This window comes from Homo sapiens, chromosome 11, assembly GCF_000001405.40.
Source record: "Homo sapiens chromosome 11, GRCh38.p14 Primary Assembly".
In the NCBI taxonomy this organism is placed as follows: Eukaryota; Metazoa; Chordata; class Mammalia; order Primates; family Hominidae; genus Homo; species Homo sapiens.
The window spans coordinates 12,251,408-12,265,587 of NC_000011.10; the positions used below are offsets into that span (position 1 = coordinate 12,251,408).

Genomic DNA, 14,180 nt, shown 5'->3' on the forward strand with positions numbered 1-14,180 from the left:
GGCTCTCCCCTCATCCCAGGAGACAAGTTCTCCATCACCTTATTTCCCTGTGGCCTCTCAAAGAAGTGCTGGTCTACCTCTTGGTGATTCTGGAATGCATTTCATCAGGTTGGGAAGGGCAGGTAGGAGACCCAGTACTGATTTCCTTAAGGGTGCTTCCATTTCACTTTAAAAAAAAAAAAAAAAAAAAAAAAAAAGGAATGTCACCCTCTCGGGGTGGATGTGTGGGTGCCACGGGGAGAAAGGGGGCTTTTGGACCTAATGAAAGGTGGGACCAGGTGTGGTCTTCATCCTGGATCCCCTGCGCAGATGACCCAGACTGTGCCCTGTGCTGCAGGACAATGGAGCAGCTCTGCAGCTGCTCAGTTTTGGCTGCACCTCCCAGCAACCTCGCAGCCCTCTGCATGCTTCAGTAATGCCTCCCCAAGTCACGGTTGCTCAGAAGCTCAGTGCACAAAGTGCTTATTAGCTAAGTAGTTAATAAGGTCTCATTAGGGATTTGTATTAAAAGCTCCAAAAAGTATAGTCTCTGCTTACTCAGGGGAGGCAGTAATTGTGCATGGGTATCTTGGCATCACTGTGGTGCCTTTCTGGGAGAATACCGTGGAGCCCGTTCACACACTGTGCCAGTGGAGGCAGTCACACAAGGGGCTGGGCAGGCAGTGCTGAGAATATAACTGACCTCCCTGCCTTTCCTCCCACAAAGCCCAGGAAGTCCTTTGTATCCTATAGCCCCTATCTGAGGGGCCAAGCTGGGGGCCCCAGCAGGGGATGGAACATCAGGCAAACAATGGCTTATTGTCCTGAGCTGATACACCTGAACCTTTCTTGGAAGCAGGGGCTAAATTTCTTGGCATTTGTGGCCTCCTGGAAATGGCAGACAGTATGCTTAGAAGCAGAATCCTAATCCCTCCCAGGTTGGGCCAGAGTAGAGGCCAGGGTGGAAGGGGGAGCCAGGCCTGACAGCTGCTCCCAAGAAGTGGCAGGCTTGGTAAACTCTGATGAGGTCCCATCTGTCTAAGTTCAAGGGATCAGACACCCCCAGCAAGCCTGCATCCATGTCCTCTGCAGGCCCCAAAGCCACACACATGGTCTGGAGTGACCATTCCAAAGGTGCTGTAATGTTGGGCTTCCTAATCAGAAAGGGAGCAAGGAGCTCCTGGGCTTTGTTTGCACCAGTCTGCCAGGCACTCCTTTCCCTGCTCAGCCCTATTTAGTGCCTGTGCTTTCGCTGGAAGCCAGTGAGTTAGCCTTAGGCCCTGAGGATGGGCACTGCTACCAGGAATAGGGGAGCTGTGGTGAGCCCGTCATCTGCTTTGCAGTTCCCTGGACTCCCTGCTTTATGTTTGAGGCTTTCTCTTATCAGTTTAGATGTGACCTCCCAAGGGCAGTCTTGGGTTTTGATGGAAGTCATCATTTCACCCACACACAAGTTACTGTTATTTGGTGTGGTGATGGATATCAACCCCTGCCCAGAGGCCCTGCAGCCTCCATTGCTGCTCTCTCTGGCCACATCTCCCAGAGGCTGGGTTCAGAAGCTGGGGAGGACCTAGAGCTTCCCTCACTCTACGATCCTGGGATCAGGAGCAGTGTTTCTAGAATCTCATGCTATGTGTATTTACCTCCCACAAGAAGAGACTGCAGCGATACCAGGGTGGGCTTCCAGAGCAGGCTTCCAGAGCTGGGGGTGAGGGGTGAAGGGGAGAGCAAGCTGGGGTTTGCAGAAGGGGGTATGTATAATTGTGCCATGCTCTTTGGGCTGTCAGCTTCCACCCCTTCCCCAGCTCTTTGACACCTTGGTGGGGGTCCAGGCATTTGTAGGTACCCTCAGGAGCACAGGCACCCACAACCTGTCACTGGGCCATGCACCCCAGGGCCCAGGCAGAGCTGCCACCTCGCTGTCTCCAAGCCGACCTTGCCTGGCGCTAGCTCTGGAGCCTGCTGCAGTCCCCATCCTGTCCTACCTGCCCAGTGTGCGCCCATTCCACATACTGCTCTTGTTGGCAGGGTGGGCTGTGGTCCTGCTGGGAGGGACCTGGGAGCTTCAAGGCAGGCTAGGGCAGGCTGAATCTAGAGGAGGGAAGGGAGGGAGGAAGCAAGGTATAAGAAAAAAACTGCTTCTCTCTACTCTCACACCACTCACCTCTGGTCACCAAATAAAGTGGGGATGTTTCTCCCCACCAACAAAATCTATAAATGGAAAGGTTTTCCCTGAGTTCTACGAGCGATCCTTGCAAATTAGTTAAACCCGAGGAGGGAAACACGGTTACTGGTTTATTATACAGGATCTTATCAAGGATAGGGAGGAACAGCCAGGTGAGGAGAGGCACAGGGCAGGGCATGTGGGAAAGGGTGGGCACCTCTCTGCCGTCTCTGGGGCACTGCCCTTCAGGGGCCTCTGCATGGTCCACCCTCCAGAAGCTCCAAACCCTAACCTTTTCGGTTTCTATGGAGGCTTCGTTATGAAGGGCATGATCGATTACATCACTGGCTGTTGGTGATTAACTCAACCTTCAGCCTCTCCGCCCTTGTAGGTCAGTGTGTGGGACTGAAAGTTCCAACCCTTTAATCACAGGGTTGGTTCCCCTGGCAACCAGCCCCATCCTGAAGCTATCCAGGAGCTCAAGAGTCACCTCGTTCCAGCAAAGGATGCTCCTATCACCCAGGAAATCCCAGGGGCTTTAGGATCTCTGCATCAGATGCTGCTGTCACTCAGAAAGGTACAAAGGTCTTAGGAGCTCTGCCTCAGGAACCAGGGGGCAGAGTCCAAATATGTATTTCCGACCATATCACAATATCACACAAGGTAGTCCTGGCCCAGAGCCTGCCAAGTGCCAGGCAATAGGACACACATTCTCTCGTGCAGTCCTTCCCACAAACTCGGGAGACAGGTATAACTCTCCCCATTTTACTAAATGAGGAACTGAGCTCAGAAGTTCTGTGCTTTACGCCAAGTCTCAGCACTGGCCCATGGTGGAGCTGGGCCCATACCCTTCCCCTGGTCTTCCTGGTCCCTGAGCAGCTGCCTGCAGCCCTCCGGGGACAAGGGGTCTCTGGAAGAGGGTGGCCGCAGTCTGGCAGTCTACCTTTCTGTCTGAGGGGGCTTGGTTCCTGATTTTCTTCTCCTCTTTGCTTGGCTTGTCTAACTCGCAGGTTTTTGGGGCTTTTGGGTAATGATTGGGTCTGAGTACCACGTTTACCCCATGCCCCTGCTGAGTGAAGCTGTGAATGCCCCAGGGCTGGGGGGCAGGAGACCAGAGTACAGTCTGGAATCTTGAATTTATTTGCTAAGCGGCCTCAGATAGACCGTTCCCTTCTCTGGGATTCATGTACATATCTGTGCAATGAGAGGCTCAGGAACTTTGGAAGGCCTTGCACCCCACGGTGAATGTAACAGTCCCATGGCCCACCCAGGACTAAAAGGCTTTTGGTTTTTAATCTTTTTTTTCCTCGAATTTTTTTATTGTGTTAAAACATACATGACGTAAAATTTACCACCTTAACTTTTTTTTTTTTTTTTTTTTTTTTGAGACAGTGTTTTACTCTTGTTGCTCAGGCTGGAGTACAATGGTACGATCTCAGCTCACTGCAACCTCTGCCTCCCAGGTTCAAGTGATTCTCCAGCCTCAGCCTCCCAAGTAGCTGAGATTACAGGCATGCACCACCATGCCTGGCTAATTTTGTGTTTTTAGTAGAGACGTGGTTTCTCTATGTTGGTCAGGCTGGTCTTGAACTCCGGACCTCAGGTGATCCACCCATCTCGGCCTCCCAAAGTACTGGGATTACAGGCGTGAGCCACCACACCCGGCCAGCCTTAACCATTTTTTAAGGGTACGGTTTAGTGGTATTAAATACATCCTTCGTGTGCAACCCTCACCATCCTCCCACTCCAGAACTCTTAGTTGTTGTAAAACTGGAACTCTGTACCCACTAAACAACAGCAACCACTGTTCTACTGCCTGTCTCTACGATTTTGACTACTCTAGGTACCACATATAAGTGGAATCCTAGAGTACTTGTGTTTTTGCGGCCACAGGGTTTTATTTATTTTCTTTTCTCCACCTCCAGAATCCCCGCGTTCTGCTCCTGGCTGGTTTTGCTTCTCCTGGGTCGTGGGGTGCTATTTGCATGTGGGTGAGGAGCCCTCTCCCCATCCATCCTGCTTGTGTTTTCCTCCTGGGTGCTAACTGGCCTCTACCTTTGTCTCTGTCTCCTCTGCCTCTGCTCTTGGTTAGCTGACGGTAGGGAAAGTGTCCAGCGGAATAGGGGCTGCAGCTGAAGTCCTGGTCAATCTGTACATGAATGATCACAGACCTAAGGCCCAGGCCACCTCTCCAGACCTGGTAAGGACATGCACCCCCAGCCTTCACCCACAGACACTGGCTCTGGCATCCCAGGGCGGGCACATGGGATGTCGAGAGGATGCCCTGGCCCTCCCGAGGCTCCTCTTCTCTTGGAACAAGAGGGGGCTGAGAATGAGCTGAATCAGGGCAGAAGTTAAAAGGAGCCTGCTTTTCCTTAAAGACAGATCTCACTCAGGTCCCCTGTGGTCTTTTTGAAAATAGAGATCTTCCTGCTCTCTGTGGCTTTGGAGAACGGCCTGGTAGAAAGGCCCAGGTGAGGCCGTGAGCATAATTGAATGGCCCTCACTTTCAGTGTTTAGTGTCCAACCTGAACAGACTCTGTGCATTGGATTGAGAAAAAGGTCATGGGGAAAATAGCCCTTTGATTTGAATTCTCCCTTTCTCTAAACTGGGCTGCTCGCTGCCATCACCAGGAATTTTAGTTGACCATTCTTTCTGTTTCCTTTTGGCCCATTGCCCTGGAATCGCCCAGGGGTACTGCTGCCCTGGCCCGTGCCCTCCCAATTCACAACTAGGACTATAACTGACCAGATTTGATGCCACAAGCTTTCCTCACCCAACCTGTGCCACTGCAGGGGAACAGGACACCTAAAACATCCTCAGCGGGCCAGTTTCAGGACCTTTGTCCAGAACCAGGTGACACTTAATCCCAAGGACAGATCCTGGAAAGAATATCCTGGGGTGGACAGGGTTGTGAGTAAAGCCCACTCCGTCAGACCAGGATCACTCCCACCCCAAAACCAGAGCAGCCAACCTCGGGGAGAGCCCCTCCCGGGCCCACCTTGTTGTCTCGGGCCTGTCTGGGAGTACAGTTAACAGAAGCCCCTGCAGGGTTGGGGTCTGGGTTGGGGGTGTATCTTCCTACCCCTCCCTCTTTGCTGCAGTGGCAGTAGCAGGAAGCAGAAGCCCACGAGGTCCCCAGCATTCAGTGTGGAATTTCTAAAAGCCTTGGCCTGGCATTTGAAGGCTCGGGATAAGCCATAATACACCCACTCTTCTCTCCCGATCCCCAGGAATCTATGCGAAAGTCATTTCCCCTTAACCTGGGAGGCAGCGACACGTGTTACTTCTGTAAGAAACGTGTGTACGTGATGGAACGGCTGAGCGCCGAGGGCCACTTCTTCCACCGGGAGTGTTTCCGCTGCAGCATCTGTGCCACCACCTTGCGCCTGGCCGCCTACACCTTTGACTGCGATGAAGGTAACCCCAGGGGCCAGGGCAGCACTGGGCTCTGGCCTTGGCCTCAGGTGTGACCTTGGCTCGGGTTCCTGTCCCTCTGGTGGCTCTAGGACACCCAAACATACCCAAAAGGAAGTATGATGTCATCAGGAAAGCTGCTCAGGGAGACTGGGAGCTCCTGCTAGAAGGGGAGGCTGCCTGTGGTCCCAGGGAAGGGGTAGCATCAGCACTGTGGTACGGCATACCAGGTCCTGGTGGGCACCTGTGTGCCCAGGGCTCTATGTACCTCTTCTTATGTAGCCTCACCACCCTCCATTGTCCCTGTATGGCCAAGAAAATCCAACCTGATACTCTCCATTGCATGCTCAGCACCACACCTGGCATGCAGTAAGGTTCACCAAATGATGCAATGTTAATATTACTTACATAGTATGTGTTTTTAAAATAACCATCATAATGATATTCCCTCTGATAAGTGGCCTAACAAAGACATCAATGGAGGAATCATGCTCATCGGAACGAATGATTATTTTCTAATTTTCAGCACTTGACATTTGCTCTGTCACCTATAACGAGAGGCAGTATAGCATGGTGCTCAATACACACCCTCAAATTAAACTGCCTGGGTTCCACTCCAGAGTCTACCACCTCCTAAGCATGGAACCTTGGGCTTGTTACTTAAACTCTTCGTCCCCCAGTTTCCTCATCTGTAAAATGAGGTTAACGGTAGTCCTTAGCTCTCAGGGTGGTTGTGATGACTGATGAGTTAATTCATGTGAAGCTCATAGCATCATGCCTGGCATACAGTCATTCCTATGTAAGTGTCCCCTACTGTTACAATTTTTACTATTGCTATTGTTACCAGTGCAGCAGTGAGCAAGGAAGGCTTGTCTGGAAGGCGCACAGTGGTCCTGGGCAGTGGCAGTTTCCCAGTGCGTGCCCCGTCTGGGTCTTTTCCTCCCCATCACTGCTGCCATTTGCTCTCAGCATTTCCCACCCGCCAGGTATTCCACAAAGAAAGACTGAGGGTGTTCATACTCGAAGCTGTCCATTTAGCTGCCTGGCAACCGGTCTTATGAAGAAACTTGGCCTCAGTTTGATTTGGGGATTTTTTTTAAATGTTGTCCTATTTATTATAAAGGATGCAGAGGAGCAGCCAGATGGAAAAGAGGCATGGGGTGTGGTATGGGAGAAGGGGCTCAGAGCTCCCATGCCCTCTCCGGGTGCGGGCATGCCACCCTACGGGAGCCGGCATGGTTTGAAGGTCTTAGCCACATCCCCGGGAGCCCCCCATTGCTGGAGCTTGTCTCTGAGGCAGCAAAGGGCCCTCCTACCTTATCTCAGTGCCACTTCTTTAAGGAAGGTGACAGAAGCCGTTTCCCAAGTTTGAGCCACCCTGGGCTATTTCCATCGTTACTATTTTCTGACTTGGACAGTGGTGGGCACTTGGCTTTTGTCTACTTAGCTCTAGTTTACAGGAGAAAAATTTTTCTGTATGTGTGTGCCTCTTTTTACAGGCAAATTTTACTGCAAGCCTCACTTCATTCACTGTAAAACCAATAGCAAACAACGGAAGAGACGGGCAGAGTTGAAGCAACAAAGAGAGGTATGTTTGTCTCAAACATGCTGGTGAAACGGGGAAGGCCCCTTGATAAGGGTTTCCAGTGATCCTCAAAGTTAGGCCAGCTTTGCTGGCCCTAGAGGGATTGAGATGACTCACAGATAAAGAAGAAAGCCTCTGCTTCCTGGTGTGGAGGGTTCTTTTGCTTCAGTCTGTTCCACAGCCTCTGGGGTGTGTCCCATTCCAGATGAGCTCCCAGGACAGTAGCCATGCTGGCTTCTCATAAGAAGCCTGGAAGAGCTTGCCCATGTGGCAGGGATGGGGTGATATGCTTAGCCACACAAAAGCCACATGGCCCTCTGTACCTGGAACCCACCTGGCCACAAGGTGCTGTTTGCAAGAATGCCTGGTATAGGACCGACCCTTCTACATTTTCCAAGTCCTCTCCCAGGCTCTCGAAGTCAACAAAGTGACCAGCCCACTGAATTCATAGATGGTTTGTGGAAGCATCTCTTCTGGCATCTCTTAGCAAATATCTTCTCTCGGGCTTGATTAATCATCTACCACTAGCAACAACCCATAACTTAAAACTTTTTTCTAATTAGCCAAATATATAGGTTCAGTGTAAAAACATGGGAAGGAAAGAATATAAAGAAACAAAGTTAAATCACCTGTAACCACTCTACCCTGAGAAAACCGCAGTTGACATTTTGTAACATCCCTTTCCAGGCTTTTTTTCTATGTGAATGTATTTTAACCAAAGTGGAATCCTATGCCTAGAGTTTTATATTCTTCCTTTTCTTCACTAACTGTATATCAAGAATAGTTTCCCATGACATTAAATTTTTTTATGTTGGAGCATAATTTTTAATGCCTTTGGAAGATTCTAGTCTATAAATGGTCAATAATTTACTTCACCACTTCTGTATTACTGGATCTTTACGTCGTTGGAATTTTTTATCTTACAAATGTTTTTACAGTGTATGCTAGTATGCATGTTGTTATCCATATTTCAAATTATTTACTTGATGTATATCATTAGGAGTGAGATTGCCGATCAAAAGGCATGCATATTTTTGAAGGCTCGTGACTCCTATGGTCAGTTGGCCCCTAGAAAAGTGCCCGTGTTCAGCACCGGCTTCAGCATGAGTCGGGGGGCTGAGATTATTGTGGGGGCTGGTTGCAGGGTCTGGCGAGTTCAGTTTGTATTGGCTGTTGGCTTTGTTGAAGTAGTCCTCTGGAAGACTTACAGACAAATGCCCTCATTTCCATCTCTTTCTCAGGAGGAGGCAACATGGCAAGAGCAGGAAGCCCCTCGGAGAGACACTCCCACCGAAAGTTCTTGCGCAGTGGCCGCCATTGGCACCCTGGAAGGCAGCCCCCCAGGTATCTCCACCTCCTTCTTTAGGAAGGTGCTGGGCTGGCCCCTCAGGCTGCCGAGGGACCTGTGTAACTGGATGCAGGGACTCCTGCAAGCTGCTGGCCTCCATATCAGGGACAATGCTTACAACTACTGCTACATGTACGAGCTCCTGAGCCTGGGGCTGCCACTCCTCTGGGCGTTCTCTGAGGTCCTGGCAGCCATGTACAGGGAATCTGAGGGCTCCCTCGAGAGCATCTGCAACTGGGTGCTCAGGTGCTTCCCAGTCAAGCTCCGCTGACATGGCTGGCTGCCCCAAAGTGCCTTCACATTTCCAGGGAGGCTTCAGATGGCAGTGCGTTTGCAGTTTGCTCAGGCTCTGGCCAGGAAGCCTAGCATTCTCTAAGCAATTAGCTCAAAGCCAAAGAATTTCACATGGGCCACCTCCGCCTGGCCTTATCAGGGTGAACATCTACTCACGGTGCTAGGGCCAGGGATGATATGAAGGATCTTTTCTATAGCTTTGTGAGCCATACTTCTGGGTTTACATTTCAATTTTTTTAATTTTAATTAGCCCAGAGAAAGCATTTTTTTCTATGAGTGTCAATTTTTCTAAACATGGGTTTGAAGCTTATAACCAGTTTTATAAACCCCTTGAACACTGCAGTGAGTTATCAAAGCCACTGCCTGCAAAGTGGATGATTTAAGATTTTACACGCATGAAAATGAGTGTGCCATCTCCTGACCAGTGCCTTTTGACTTAGGTACCCAGATGCCACTTGTCAGCAGCAGGATACTTTTTACAACACGAAAGCATAATTATTTTAGAAGAAGAGAGTAGAAGGGCAGAATAGAATTCAACTTACAGAAGCACGGAGCAGTGTGTGGTTGGCTGTTATCTGTCCCCCTGGGAGGAGGACTGTTTTGCTCCCTTGTTTTGATGTTAAACAGTAGCTTAAAGGCTTTCCCCCCCATACCAACTCACAGCCAAATGACAAAGAACCGTGGGGTTTCAACAGATTCTACAAACATGCATTTTCCCTTCCCACTAATGGGCACTGCAGGGAAAGCCCATTGGCATTTGACCATGGAGCTGATGCAGTGCCAAAGATGAGCTCTTTCAACTGATGGCATTTTAGCCCCTGTGGCTCCCAGCGGATCCCCCAGCCCGGGCTGCAGGCTGAGCCAAGGCTGTGCAGGGTCCATATTGGTCAGGCCAAGTGGAGTGGAAGACTCTGTCCACTTATGTGGTGTCCTTTGGGACTGAGGGGGTTTGTTAGCACATCAGGCTATTGCTGGGAAGCGTGGCCTGCCCAGTGAGCATTGCCTGTGGACATCCTGACTGCTTAGCTGCTCCGCTGCCACACATATGTGGTCAAAACAGAAACCAATTTCACACTGCCCTGGGAAAGGAATGGGTCTGACCTCCAGGGGAAGCTCTACCATATCTTGACTGGCAGGGAAGGCTGGGAGTGGAAGCTATTTATGGACTGATCCAAAGGACATATGCATGAGTAAGGGTAAAAATGAGCATGCAGGTCCACCTGTGTTCTTACTCTGGGTATCTAGAAGAGTCCTCAGCTCTCCCTACTCCACGCTGCCTAGACATACACAGCTGCAGGGTCTGGCTGAACAATCAAGGGGCCGCCAGAGAAAGGCCATCTACGGTGCGCAGTGTATCTGGAGTTGCTGGGCCCAAGATAGCTCTGTGGAGTTATCACTAGAGATGCCTCTGGATTAACTAAGAGGTGTGCCTGGGTGTGGGTGAGGAGTCAGAACCTTTGAGAGCTTTGAGATGACAGTTTCTATGGGGCGGGAAGAAGGAGGTGCATTTCTACAAACACTTCCCTGAAATCCTTGGGAAAAACAGAGGCATGGCCGTGGCCAACTCTGTGGGAACTGGCGCCTCTGTCCTTGTTGGCACTGTTCTCAGTCCGATGACTTGCATTGTGTTTTCTCCAATTTTTGCTGGGATTTTAATGTTCAGCATGGTGGGAGGAACCCTTGATTCCTTTTGTTTGAGTATAGAAAGTAAATTTTTGAGGTCATGATGTGAACGGCCATGTTATTGTGATTATCTTCAGCTCAGGATAGGCTGAGATGCTTTGTGGAGTGTTCCATGAAGCCCGAGTCGGAATCTCTGACTGTCGTGTACAGCCATAAGGAGACTGGTTTGAATTACTGTGGCGAGACAGGGCGTGCCTGTCAGAAATCTGAGATGTTTGTACGCTCTGAGATGTTGAACCTTTCTGGTGGGCAGCACCGACACCCAGGGGTGGACCCCCGAGGATGAATGCCTCTAGGCCTCCGCAACATATTCAAGAATGAATGGGAGACGCTAGAGTAAAATGGGGGCAGAGAGGATATCAGGGAGCAAGATGCAAACTGTGTGCATCCACTCTCGTAAACAAGTAGCTGGTCACAACCAGAAAGGTTCATCTCTCCTAAGCAAACAGCGACTCTTTCAGAGGAAGTTTCCCTCTTTCAATCGTGGCCTTATTTTCAACTCCGGTGCCTTCTCGTGATGTTAATCATTTCCTTTTTTCCCCACACTAAGCTCTCTTTTCTATCTTTCTCTCTCTTTCCAATCTTACGCCATGGCCATCAGTTCATTTCAGCCTTCCAGTGCTACACCCACTTCTTGGCTGACACACTTCTGCTCTAAGGTGACTGGTTTTCTTGCCAATTTTCAAAGAGTGGTACTAACCCCCAACCCGCTTTCCGCACCCCGTCCTCTCCGCCAGCAGTACTGGTTGCACTAACTGTGAGTGTCTTGCATACTGATGGACTCATTTGGTGGCATGGTTGGCTAACAGCATGGCGGGGGGTGTTCAGCTTGAGACCCATGCCTGTGTTCATTTCCCATGGAGCTGGCAGCCTGGTCTACCCCAAGTGCATGCCCCGCCTCTCCTCTCTCCCTTGGGTCTGCCTGCGTGCATGCTTCTCCAGTTGCGTCTGCGAAGCTACCTACTTTCTTGGGAGGGTCGACCTTGATCATGAAACAATACCATGAGGGGGCCTCTGTCACCTTTGAAAAGAACACTTTTTGAGCAGCCTCAAAAAGCTCATACATACCAGCGCCTTCTTAAATTGGCTCTAATGTAAAGATTGTTAATGTCATTTATCAAAACCATAGGTGATTATTTGGAGGGATTTAAAAAACTTAATTACTCTCAGGCCTCATCCCAAGCTTGACACATGCTCTGTAGGTTGAACACATAATCACAAATATTCTAGCAAATGCTGCCTTGGTTGCAGCCTGCACTGTAGACCCAAGGGTTTTGCTGTGGCTCTTCTTATCTCCCTTGGCTCATAAAGCCCCAGATGATGCCAGAGCTTCAATTAGAGCCATCATCATCCCAGGCAGGGATATCTTTGAGAAATGACTCAGTTCAGCCCCAGGCCCCTGTGACTCTGCTTAAAGCACACATTTCTGCTGACTCTTGTACCTGGGGCAGCAGGATAATCACCAACACACTCTTAACGAGAAACAACACACCAAGCACCGTGGAGCTGTCCTAGGCAACACTCGCGGTCTCAGGCTGCGGTGGGCGTCTGTCCTGCATGTGGCCCAGACCACCCTGACCCCCGGGCCTGCCTGCCTGGCCCTGCATGCTGCACGCTCACTGTATTTGTGCAGATCCTGGCCAGTACAAAGTCGTTGCTCTTGTCTTATCTTCTCTTACAGAGTCTCCCTCCCTTTATAGAATGTCAACCAAAGAGTGCCCTCCTCCCCTCTCAGCCTCCTCTTTAGCTAGCCTCCCCATCTCATCACAACGCATGTCTGTGACCTTTGGTAATCATTTACAGTGCCACACGGAACCCTGTATTTTGCACACAGCAAAACAAACAATGTTTAGCTTTATTTATGGTATTTGATGCTGTAAATGGAAATAAATATTGTTCTTTATAAAGCTCATTGTTTCCTCTCTTCTTTGCCGTGGAAGCTTCTAAAACCTCACACACAGGGATTGGTGTAGGGGGTTCATTTTCCCTAAACTGCTGGCGGGACTTGCACTTGAGGTAACACAGGACTCTCTGGGGCTGCGCTGGGCACTCTGAAAGGAAATATTACCCCTGGGTAATATTTGGAAACTGTCACCAATGCTCCTGGGCTAGGCTTTGGGATCTCTTTCTTGAACACTCATTGTACTTTGCTGTTCTAGATGCTGGGCATAGTGGGTGAGGGTCAGTGTCCCCTCAGCGATTAGAAGCAGACTGTATTGATGGCTACCTTTACCCGTTTCCCCCGCACACCCAAGCGTGGCTCTACAGGAGAGCTTTCCCCATGAACCTTACACTAATTTAGGTTCCTATTCAGCAAAGGTTGGTCTGGAACACTTCACGCTGGTGCACAGCTGAGTGGCAAGTGGAAGGTAAGTAGGAAGGACTGGGCATCAATATTAGGATGGCAATGAAGTTGGCAGTGTGCTCATCAGATGGAGAGCCACTGCCATCCTAAGAGACCTCTCCTGTCCCAAAGGCTCAGGGTATTCAGTATCTATGGTGTGAGGCCCTGCCCTAGCACCACCCGAAGTATAGTATTCATGGCAGGCCCCAGGCAACTCCAGGCTGTGTTTAAGGGAAAGATTTGGAGCCTCACTTGGCTATCCTGGGCAGTGCCAAAGTCATCTGGTCCTCAGCCTCCCCTGGGTGGGATGCCTGCCATTTCCTGGCTGGGCGTAGCTGGGCGTAGCTGGGCTTCTGACAGTGGTATGAAAAGTCACCTGTGAACCTCATGAGGTCCCTGGCACCTCCAAATGGGTGTTCCTGAGGCTCTGGTCTCTGATGCCTGGATCTACCTTCAGAGCTGCCTCAGGTCATGACCAAGGGTTCTGTACTCTTACCTGGGTGATATATTCCCACTTCCATTTAAGGAGGGATGTTAGGGACTGTAAGTCAGGTGCTGGGCTGTGCAAGTGACTCATTCCTTTATGCATTCATTTATTCAGCAAATGTTTGTCCTAGGCCTTATTCTAAGCCCTAGGTACAGCAGGGAACCATGCGAAGTCCCCACACCTCCCTGCACCTTAGAGATGTGGCTCAGTATTGCTGTACTAGATGAGATCTGTTATATTTAACTGTGCATGTGCTCATTTGTTTGCTCAACTCTGTGATATTTCCTGAGCATCTACTATGTACTAGGAATACAGCAGGGAGTAAAGCAGACAAAAATCGTCACTTTATTGTCAAAGCGTGACACCCCAAGTGGTGCTTCACCAACAAAGGAGTCCATGATCACAACATTTGAGGAATATTTTGTACTGATCTTGCCAGTCCTCCCCCGTCCTGGAGACTAGCAAGATTCATTAGCATGTCAAGTCTCTGAGGCATCCTTGTAGGGAAGTTTAATCAACTTTGTGAAAGTCAGCTGTCCCATACTTATGTGAACATTTTGTTTTTGTTTTGGTTTGCTTTTTTTGAATATTGCATTCTACATACATAGTTTTGGTAGACTAGTGTTTAATTCAGAGATATTGGATTAAAGACTTAGAATTTTAAAAGGAAAACCATATAATTAAATATTAAATGGAATTAAGTATTGATTAGATATGGGGTGATAACCTTCTAAGCATAAATCCTCTAATAGGAAGAACACCACACAGGGAAAACATGACACAAATCTGATTATATACATTTTTAAAACTTAATGTAGAGTAATAAAATATTAAATAGACCATTAGACTAGGGAAAAATATGAACTAAATGTAATAAC

At 49.4% G+C, this 14,180-nt stretch overlaps 1 protein-coding gene across 21 annotated transcripts in view; it reads left to right on the forward strand.

Moving 5' to 3' along the window:
• The window catches only part of MICAL2 (microtubule associated monooxygenase, calponin and LIM domain containing 2), a 251,551-nt gene that overhangs the window by 140,818 nt on the left and 96,553 nt on the right, over window positions 1-14,180 (forward strand). For 8 of the 21 annotated variants that reach the window (NM_001346293.2, NM_001346297.2, NM_014632.4 and 5 more), the window contains 6 exons: window positions 4,236-4,343; window positions 5,378-5,564; window positions 7,061-7,149; window positions 8,388-8,490; window positions 11,073-11,130; window positions 12,153-12,378. In NM_001346293.2, coding sequence (NP_001333222.1) covers window positions 4,236-4,343; window positions 5,378-5,564; window positions 7,061-7,149; window positions 8,388-8,490; window positions 11,073-11,113 — 528 coding nt within the window. In that variant the 3' untranslated portion in view covers window positions 11,114-11,130; window positions 12,153-12,378. 21 annotated transcript variants of the gene reach the window in all.